An 11114-nucleotide genomic window follows, 5' to 3' on the forward strand; every position below is an offset into this window, starting at 1 on the left:
AAGCTGCAGATTTCATGATACTTCTAAGGATTTCTGCACTTACCTTTGAAAACAGAATAAAAAATATCTTTCTACTGTGTAACACAATACCATGATCATATGCAAGAAATTAATAATTCCATAATGCCATTTAATATCCATTCATAGTCAAATTTCACCAAAGTTCCCCACAAATTATCTTTTTGAATAAATTGAAGTGAAATTCGCAAGTTTACATAACATAAAATTAATTATTTTAAAGTGTACACGTCAGGGCATTTAGAACATTCATTATATGGTGCAACCATCACTTTTATTGAGTTCTAAATCATTTTCATTACTCCCAAAATGAGATACACCCATTAAGCAGTCACTCCCTATTTTCTTCTTCCCCTAGTGCCTAGCATCTACAAAATTACTTTTTGTCTCCATAGATTTACTTATTCTGGATATTTTACATATAATGGAATCATACAATATGTGAACCTTCATGTACACCCAAATTATTGTATGGCCATTTTTTAAGAAGCAATCTTGAATAAGAATACAATTTTAAAACTACGCAGTATTCTTCCCTTCAATGACTATTTTGAAAGAAAAATATTTCATTTTGACCTCGAGCCTCAGGACTCCCTTGTCTCCTACTCATTACAACAACAACAACAAAAAACCATCCATGTGAGCCGAGTCACACACAGTCTAAACTGCAGGAAAAGATGACAAGGATTTTGCTCCCAACCTTTTGTGGTTCTTAAGGATGTTAGGAAGGGCTGCCAAGCTGAACCCAGGCTATGAATTAGCCTCCATAGTTATCCTAAAGATGCTGGGCAATGGGAGGTAGAGGTGGAGACACTCCCTAGCTGTGGTTGTAGGCACAGCTATTGTCAGGCTAGGCCAGACTGATATGAGTGGTAGTGATAGATTTGCTTAAAAGGAAGCATTTCTCTTCAGGACTAACTCTACAAAACCACTCTGAATCGGACATCTTCTTTGCTTCAGTTGCCAAAGATGTATTCTGCTATATTCCTTGCTCTACAGAAGAAAGCACATCTGAGAGGACAGTAGCACCTTCCCCTCTTAACTGGCCTTTCTGTCCACCTTCTGGTGCTTTCTCGGGGGAACTTCCTGTGCATAATAGTAATTTTAGCAGACTGTTTTGACTGAACATCAGTCTGAGACTCACCTGTACTGTTTTTTAGTGGGGATAACAGCATCAAAGAGTGTCGGGGTCTACAGGTTTGGAGGAACTGCTTGGCTTAGCATTTAAAATGACACTTGGCAACTCTCTATGGTTTCAAATTGGTAATAAGTGCTTTGTAGGTCCAGTGGTTATAGCAGGAAAGGCAAATATCTGCCACCATGCCCCACTTCCTCGTTCCTTTGCCTATGACAGACGTCACTGTCTCATCGCAGAATTCTTTTCCGTTGATCTTAAACACCAGTCAGGGATACTCCTCCACAGTGAATTCCAGGGAACCATAGTCATCCAGCTGGACTTCGCATTCAAGGGGAAACCTTTTTCTTCTCATCTCTGTGGTATAAGCCTTCCCAGTTCTCAGTCTGTCAGAATAAACATATACTTTGAGCATCAGAAATTAAAGGATCTCTCAATGGGGGGCCAAGAGTATGTTTATTGGTTGATCTCCCATCTCCAGCAAGTCTTTAAAATGCTAATCCTACAGCTTGCTGGGTAATGGCTCCAAATTTATAGTAAAAATAATTATGTGAGGAGGTAGTGCGATACGTAATTAATATTCAAAAGTAGACTTGTGTAAATTTACATGCCAAGATGCTTTCCTCCCTAGAGATCTGACACTGAAAGTGATGTAGTGTATCATTTCTAAGACAAAATTTATTATAGGATCTTATTTTTTGAGGTCTCACTGAGTGACTGTGTGGTGTTACACACCCTGCTAAGCGTGGAGATCAGGGAAGGGATGGGTGAAAGACTGGAGTGCAAAGTGCAAGGGAAGTTTGTATGGCTCTTTTAGAAAAGAACCAGCTAAGGCCATATTATTCTGGCTCTTGGTACTTGTGCCCCAGCCACTAAAGTTTATGGTAGCCTGTTTCCTGATAACCGGTATTTTCATGGGAGCAAGAGCAAGAGTCTGTGACCTGAAGTGAAATAAAAATGAAGTTTTTAGTCTTCCCAAGAGTCCTTTTTATTGTTGCAAAGTTGTGCCTTGGTTTCAGTTTCTGTGTATTTGATGAGTATTTCATGAAGAAAAAATACACATTTTAATCTGATGGAACCACAGAGCAAAAATGAATTCTTTGCCTAAAACATTCCCTAATTTTGATAGCTTTTCCCCCATCTACTTTGGATTTGTGCTATTTTGCATTGTGTGAGTTATTTTTATAGGCCACCTTAAAAGTATCCTGAGACAAACTAGGGTATAAATAGTCAATAGTAGTAGAAATAATAATATGCTGCCATTTATTGAATGCTCACTTTGTTTTAGTTCTGTTCTGCATATTCAAATGTTTTATTTTAATCTGCCTACAGTTCCGTGAGGAAGTTATTTTTATTCCCATTTTATATAGAGAGGAAATGGAATCTCGGAGTAGTTATATACCTGGTAAACGCCTGACTGGGGATTTGAACCCAGATCCTCTTAACTCGGAAGCCTGGGTCCTTAACTACTTCACTGACTTCTCCATGAATAACTGTGGACGTTTGCCATTGAGTTTTTGTTTAAGTGCTGCCTGGATCTGTAGATACAGTTTCCTTGTTTTGCTGAATCTTCCATTAGGAGACAAGTCCCATTAGTTTCATCAGGATTGCTGTTTTAAGATGTGCTCTTGTTTAAAACATTTTACTCTATTACTCCTGGGTATTATTATGTTAAAATAAATTAGGAAAGTAATTCATTTGACTCTGCTATTTGCTAAAGAAAATTTACATATAAGTTTGCTTAATATAAAAAAACACCAAACCTTGATATGACCAGTGCCAAGAAGAGTAACAAAATAACTCTTCATGGTATATTTACCTTTTCATACCATCCATTAGCCACTTTGTTTTATATGGCCAGCAGATGTTGGAACTTACAGCACCTACGAAGACAAGTTGATTCTTTATGGCTGCAGCCTGATCCCATCTCCATGGGATTTTATGTCCCCCTGCTGCCTTACTGGAGCCCCCACGCAATCTGTGCTCTTAGTTCATTAGTGCAGTCAGAGTCTGTGGTGGGTCTTAGATTCTCCATTCAAGAGGATCTGCTGGGCCTGCTTTGATAGTGCAGCCAAGCAACTGCTGGTTGCAATGTAAAAAATGCCAGAGGCTTCTTTTCTGTTTAGAAACATCATCTGAAAGCCCAATAGCAGAAGACAAGCACAGGTTTTCTTGCCATAAAACCTTAAAAACAAGTTTGGGAAGGAAGGCTTAGACAACAAATGTGCCCTATTTCTGTCTGCCCTCACTAAAATGAATGCACCTGCCTTTGGAAAAACTGCCTCCTCACTTTTTCCTCATTGAAGAAGCTATTGAGACAGGTTTAAAATACCTTCCGCAAGACATGCCAACCTATTCAATTATCCTCTATTCGAAGTCACATTGGAGAAACAATTAAGGCCATCTCTATCCACGAAAATGTGAAAACCCATGGCAATATCTGAGTTGTAAGTGACTTTTCCCTACTTTGGATACCCTAGGTGATTATTTTAATTTTCCACTTCACTTTTCATATTTAAATGACTATTCCCAACTAAAACTGGTAATATCATCTCAATTTGTTACTTTCCTTTTCCACTTAAAGAAAGCTTTACATAAAATGAAGCAATTTTAGGTGATATGTAGGTGCAAGATTACAGTGAATAAAAAGACAATTTCAAGAATCATGTAAACATTTGAGAGAGAAAATATGTACAAATATCATGCAATCATAAGATATGCATATAAAATGATTACTAGAGAACATTTTGATTTGTTATTTCACAATCACATTTCTCATATATTATAAAGTGTTTTGCAGGATACTACTTTAATTCCTGCTTTCCTACCATGTGTATTTGGTGCTTTTTGTGGCTATGGAGAGTATAAAGCAGGACAAGGAAGAATTGGATAAAAGTGATTGAAGTTGCTGACTCGACTCTCTCTTCCTCCCCACCTCTTAATTTTACTTTCTGGGGCACAAAGGAGAGAATCATATTTGAGCTCTAGGGAAATTCTATTCTAGTTTTGTAGCTTTCCAGGTAGCGTGGGACAGCAGTGTCAGGAGAAATTTAAATAGAGAGATCTCTTATCCATATTTAATTTTTTCAATATTGGGCTTCTCGTATGTTCAAATGAGTTATTATTACAAATTTACTCAACATCTGCCTGGCATCCATTCGCTGTGCTGAAACAAAGAGACTTCCACTTGAGCAAAGGCTACCAGTTAAGTGCTCTGCTGCTAAGGTTTGTTTGTGTTTTTAAATAGTGATGACTTCTTTCTTTATCTGCCTCTGTCTTTTAGATCTAAGAACTGGCCATATTTATTTAGCATATATGACTCGCTATGTCTTTCCTGTTCACTGCTCAGAAAAATACAGAATGATGGGGAAGAGTCACATCATAAAATAACATGAAAGCTTCTAAAAGGAGTGGGGGGTGGGCGGGGAAGAGAGTGAAATATGCTTATGTTGTCCAGTGGTACGAAGATACGAAGATTTCTTTTGGGGTTGACTTGCTGCCCAGCCACTCAGACATCTCCTGAGCATGATTCTAGTTATAGTAGATCTTGCTGGGAATAGGCAGGATGGTCAAAACAAGAAAGTGTGAGCTCAGGTGGTGCGGAGTCACCTTTTTTCTGAACTTGTGTTTGTAGGAGTGAAAGCCCACAGGAATTGTTAGCTTTTCTCTAAGACAACAATATGACCACCGAAACTTTCACTTGCAATGGGATACATAAATTATGAGCATATAGATTGTTATATTTTTTGTTGGGTAGGGAAGATCTAGGCAGTGATTAATTATATACTACAACAGTTTCTCCAACAAATAAAGCAGAAGTGATTGCTTTGTTGAAACTTGTTAATGTTGAAGCTTTTGGGGGTCAAAATTGAGGATATTGGTTCATTGTTCTTGGAGTGACAAGTTCTGGTTCCTAGGCCCTGCTTTGCCACCAATAAGTAAGTCTGTAAAATTGTTTAACTTTTTTTTTTTATTATAAAGTAATCCCTCGTGCTTTATTTATTAGAGAAGCCATAGCATGTAGTAACGAAAACAAAACAAAAGTAAACAAAAACAACCCTGAAACAAAATCCTAATTCCTTGCACACACAGCAAGTTGGAAAGTGGATACAATGGCCTTGGACGATTTAAAAAATATAAGATTTAAATGGTCAATACACTTCAAGAAAATAAAATCAAATTCCAGTAATCAAATAAATGCAAATCAGCAAGCTACCATTTTCTTTGCTTATTAATTAGAAAAAGAGTTTTAAAAATATAATGACTATTGCTGATGTGAGTGTGTCAGAAGTTAGTACTGATACAACTTGGGAGGGAGCTTTACTTGGGAGTTTACAGTGTTTTTCCATTAAACCAGCAATTTTACTTTTAATAATATATTCCAAAGAAATAGAAATGTGCATGTAGATTTATATCTCCTGAGCACAGTATTTCTAATAATAAAATATTGAAAATAACCTAGATTTCCTACAATAATTTATTCTGTATCCATAATCTGAAATACTATGTAGTTTTAAACAGTGATATGGTAAAATAATATTCAATGCCATGGAAAAGTTCAAGTATATTATTACGTGGAAACAAAAGCAGCTTACAAAACAATATCCACAGTAAGGTTCCAATTTTGTAAAAAGGCATAGTTAAATTATTTAGATATTAGTAAGGATTATCTTTGGAGTACATGGATTATGCATAATTTTTGCTTTATTTGTGCTTTCAGGAATTTTCCAAATTTTCTGCACAAGAATGTTATTTGCTGTGTAATTTGAATAAAAATAAATGAATGATAGGAGAAATGGTCTGGAAGTCTGGTAACCTGGTGGCAAATCATTTAAACTTTCTAGAGCTGAGACTGTAAAATGAGCCAATTGAATAGACTTAAGTTTAGCGCTGAGTCTGTGATATCCGATTTTTCAGCAGGAGTAACATCTTCAATTCAACTCTTTGTCATTTTGGCTAACAGATATTGAAGGAGAAGGTAAAAGGCATTATTCATTTTTAAGCATTTGGCATGTTTCCAAAACACTGAGTCAATTTAATGTAATTACTTTTTCATAATTATTATTTCAGAAGTGCTTCAACTTCAGTTTCTACTAATCTTTAGTCAGCTCTTTATATTTCCTGCCTATGAACTCGGGGTCCTGAAGGATAGTAAACAAACATTTAGGCACTTTGGATATCTGCTATTTAAAGAAAATCTGTGGAGAATACTTATTTGAAGTAAATTGTCCTCTGGTAATAAAAGTCGTAGCCACAAATATTTACTATGTTAGTTGATTTGCTTATTTCAAGGTTGCTTAAAATGGGATCTACTGGCATTCTGGAGTGATTAATTTTTTTTTTTACTGGCTCTCAGCCACATGCCACAGTGACTTCTTAGGGAGATTCAATGGCAATAGCAACATGGTGCCTGGAATGTGCGGTAAAACAAACAACTGTGCTGTGTCCCAAAGAACTGGTGCTATGATATAGCTCTGTTTTCACCTGTTGTGAGTAGCTTTGAGAAATTGATTACAATACTCCCCCTTCATCTGCAGGGGATGTGTTTCAAGAACCCCTGTGGATGCCTGCAACCATGGATAGTACGGAACCCTATATAGGCTATGTTTTTTTCCTATATAAACAAATGGTAAAGTGTCATTGATAAATTAGGCACCTAGTAAGAGATCAACACAATAACTATTAATAATAATGAGAACAATTATAACAATATGCTTTAATAAAAGTTATGTGAACATGGCCTCCCTCTGTCAACTGGAATTTTCCATTTAATATTTCAGAAGCAACTGATCCTGGGTAACTGAAAGCTCAGAAAGTGAAGCCACAGATCTGGGGCTACTGTACTAGAATTTTCTTTCCTTGAGGTTCAAGTATATTTTCATTTGACTTTCTAAATTGTTTACACCTCCAGAGCCACTGTTTGGTCTTATTTCAGTGATGACTATTATTCTGATGGGTGTTACAATAAGTAAAATCTATATCTCTGTCCCAATTTTGAACCACCAAAGGAATTGTCTTAAATAGTATTAACAGAAGATTAGAACTAACAAAATGATTGTTTTTAGTTAGATATTTTTTCACTTTTCCTTCTAGGCTGCCAGGGTTAAATTTATTTTATAGTCTGCTAAAAGTCAGATACATACATATAATTTTTATTAAATTTCAGTTAGCTACTTTATCTTCCATCCTCAGTGTCCCTGGATTATTGATTTTCTAGTTCAAGGCCTCAGGTAACATCCTCTGGCACATAACCCAGGAGTGTATTCTGACATTTCCACTGAAGCATGGAAGAGAACCTTTGAGAAACCTCCCAGGAGCCTGATGTGTGCGAGTTCCCAGCTGGGGCCAAGGCTGCAAGAGATAACTGCGGAATATTGATTGAGCCAGAATTTCTGCTCTGCATTGTCTCAGCGATCATCCTCATACCCTCAGTTACCCTTGACTGACTCAACAGGACAGGGTTAGGGAGGAGGAGAGGACCAAGTAGTGATCTATATAAAGATGTACTGTTTGGCAGCCCAATACTTGCAGGAGAGTACCATCACACCTGAGCAGCAGGGTTTTCCCGGGATCTAATAGAAAAAGACCTGGTAAGGTCATGGACATTGAGGCTCAGATATCAATTTAATCACCTCTTTTCTCCATTGCTAAAATGAACAATGTTATGTACCTTCTAGTATAAAAGTCTTCCCAATGGCTAGATCAAATTCTATTTCATTTAAAAAATTAAAATTTTCTATTTTAAAACATAACTTTGTTACATTCACAGATTTTTTTTTTTTTTTTTTTTTGCTTGGCCATATGACTTTTTTTTTTTTTTTAATGCTTCAAGTTCTGGGATACATGTGCAGAACGTGCAGGTTTCTTACATAGGTATACAGGTGCCATGGTGGTTTGCTGCACCCATCAACCTGTCATCTACATTAGATATTTCTCCTAATGCTATCCCTCCCCTAGTCCCCCACTCCCCGATAGGCCTGATGTGTGATGTTCCCCTCCCTGTGTCCATGTGTTCTCATTGTTCAACTCCCACTTATGAGTGAGAACATGTGGTGTTTGGTTTTCTGTCCTTGTGATATTTTGCTGAGAATGATGGTTTCTAGTTTCATCCATGTCCCTGCAAAGGACGTGAACTCATTCTTTTTTATGGCTGCATAGTATTCTATGGTGTATATGTGCCACATTTTCTTTATCCAGTCTATCATTGATGGATATTTGGGTTGGTTCCAAGTCTTTGTTATTGTGACATTCACAGATTTTTTTAAATCCTGGAATAGCATATTGTTTATATCAGCTGTTATGAGAATGATACTTTTGCTGGGCATGGTGGCTCACGCCTGTAATCCCAGCACTTTGGGAGGCTGAGGTGGGTGGATTACTTGAATATTTAAGACAATATGACTATAATCCCAGCACTTTGGGAGGCTGAGGCGGGTGGATCACGTGAAGTCAGTAGCTCGAGACCAATCTGGCTAATGCGGTGAAACCCCGTCTTTACTAAAAGTACAAAAATTAGCCAGGCTTGGTGGCAGGCACGTGTAGTCCCAGCTACTCGGGAGGCTAAGGCATGAGAATTGCTTGGAACCGAGAGGTGAAAGTTGCAGTGGGCCGAGATTGCGCCACTGCATTCCAGCCTGGGTGACAGAGACTCCGTCACACACACACACACACACACACACACAGAAACACTCTTACACAATGTCTCCGTGCTGTGTGGAATATTAGAACAAATAAAAAGGTAACTGTAAGAGGCACTGAGGCTTCTATTACCTTTGAAATGTTAGTGATGTTTCATTCTTTTATGTACTTATTGTTTATAATTTATCTGCCTCAAAAAAGTATTCAAATAGGTTGACAAGAAATGGCAAGATGTCCACTAAAACAAGAAAAATGTATGCACAGTTCTCTAAGAAATGAAATGAAAGAAATTTATACTATTAGTTGACCAGTAATTGTGCGCCATGGTGTTCGCTGCGGCATTATTTATGGCAGAAAAAAAAAAGGGAAAGAAAATCTCCAAATACAAGGGATAGATTAAGTCAGAGCTTTTCAGTGCTGGCACTATTGACGTTTTAGACAGGGGTCGTTCTTTTTTATAGGGGGGGTCTGTGTATTGTAGGATCCTTAGCAGCGTCCCTGCTCTCTGCCCACAAGATGCCAGATGCCAGATGCCAGCAGCATTGCCTCCATCGTGACAACCAAAAAACTTCTCCAGACATTGCCAAATGTCCCCTGGAGAACAAACTCACCCCCACTGAGAAACAGTGGGTTAAATAAATAAGAATTATATTAGCTTTTTAGTGTTGCCATAACAAATTATCCCAAATAAGTGGTTTAAAAGAATCAAAATTTCTTCTCTTACAGTTCTGAAGGCTAGAAGTCTGAAACCCAAGCATTGGCTGGTTTGTTTCCTTCCAGGGGTTCTCTGTTCCATGTCTCTCTCCTTGCTTCTGGTGGTTGCTGGCAATCCTTGGTGTTCCTTACATTGTAGATGCATCCCTCCAGTCTCTACTTGTTTCTTCACATGGCCCTCTCTCCTCTGTGTCTGTGCCTAAATTTCTCTCTTTTTATAAGGACATCAGTCATTGGATAAGGGATCATTAGAATCCAGTGTGACCTCGTCCTAATTTAACTGCATCTGCAAAGACCCTATTTCCAGATAAGGTCACGTTTACAGATACTAGGATTTAGGACCTGGACATATCTGTTTAAGGGACACAATTGAACCCACAGCAATAATGTTTTTGACACTGCAGAAGTATCATTCAATTTTTGTTACAGTTATTATTTAGAACTAGTGGCATCACGTGGAGATAGAGAATTTATCAATTGCCCTTGGAAAAAAACTGTGAAGTCTCCATGAACTTGAAGGCAAACGCTTCAGACTGAGATGTAAAATATTTTACCTGTGTAAATTGCTGAAGAATGGCAGGGGGAGGTTAGTAGGTAGACAGTGAACGAATCAACAGAACTACTTTCTACTTTAATATAAATTTCATCTGGTTGGTACTTCAATACTCTTGCAGTCCTTGAGAGATGGGTGTGTGTTTTGTCTAAATATTTTGTTTCAGGAGCTGGTGTGCAGAACAAACCAGGGAGAACTTATAGGTTCACTTCTTGCTGAAAAAAAAAATGTGAAACATTTGGCCTGGTGTTGGCACAGTGATACTTAACATACATAATCCTGACTTTAAGAAAGACATGGCCAACTCTTATAGTCACTTTGTTTGGACCATGGAGGTCAGGTTACACCCTCTGAATGAGGATGATAATTTTCTCTGGAAAAAAAAGGGAGTTTCCACTTTCAATTATTCTGTGGAAGAGACTAGGGTGTCTTAGAATGAGGGAGAGAAAACATAACTCTTCCTCTGAAGCCAAATGAGGAGGTGGGGTCAAGACTTTGGGGATGGAGGTGTCTAGAAATTTCTACTGGTGGCTCCTCCCGTGTGGAGTAGCCTAGAGAAACTCTTCTGGTAGTAAATCATTCTGTATTGTACCCACGTTAGCCATAAGCTTTCATTAAAATTCTGTGTAATGTCACAGCCTAGTTTTAGCTGGACTTCAGGGATGTAAGGGAGGGGCCTGTGTTCATGTTAGGACAAAGGAATAGAGGAGCATGTCTTCTCTACCCAGCGTTGATTCCTCTCCTGTTAGCCTGTGTAGCCATGGCTGTGTTACTTCAAGGAGATGTGGAGCCCAGATGTTTTTGAGCGATGATTTGTGTCAGAACAGAGAGCAATGGTTAGGAGCCAGCTAACATGGTGAGCATAGGCTATGCTGACAAATGACACACAGGACATGTTTTTAGGAACGCGTACGCATCCTTGGGAGTCCCCAGCTAGTTATTAGGTAAGGAAATCTGAATATCCTGCGCAGCAGTTTGGGGAATTAGACGATTGTTATGTCAGCATTAAAAGAAGAGTGACCTCTGAGAGCTGGAGGAGAACCTGGAAGCACAGAA

The 11114-nt window shown here is 38.2% G+C and overlaps 1 annotated feature.

Moving 5' to 3' along the window:
* Positions 802–2001: an enhancer, noted in NCBI's record as "BRD4-independent group 4 enhancer chr4:84775825-84777024 (GRCh37/hg19 assembly coordinates)". NCBI's record gives its function as "activates an origin of replication core promoter dependent on BRD2, P300/CBP, MED14 and CDK7 cofactors, and independent of BRD4, by STARR-seq in HCT116 cells {active_cell/tissue: HCT116}" and the evidence as "EXISTENCE:reporter gene assay evidence [ECO:0000049][PMID:35650434]".

This window comes from Homo sapiens, chromosome 4, assembly GCF_000001405.40.
Source record: "Homo sapiens chromosome 4, GRCh38.p14 Primary Assembly".
NCBI classification, from domain to species: domain Eukaryota; kingdom Metazoa; phylum Chordata; class Mammalia; order Primates; family Hominidae; genus Homo; species Homo sapiens.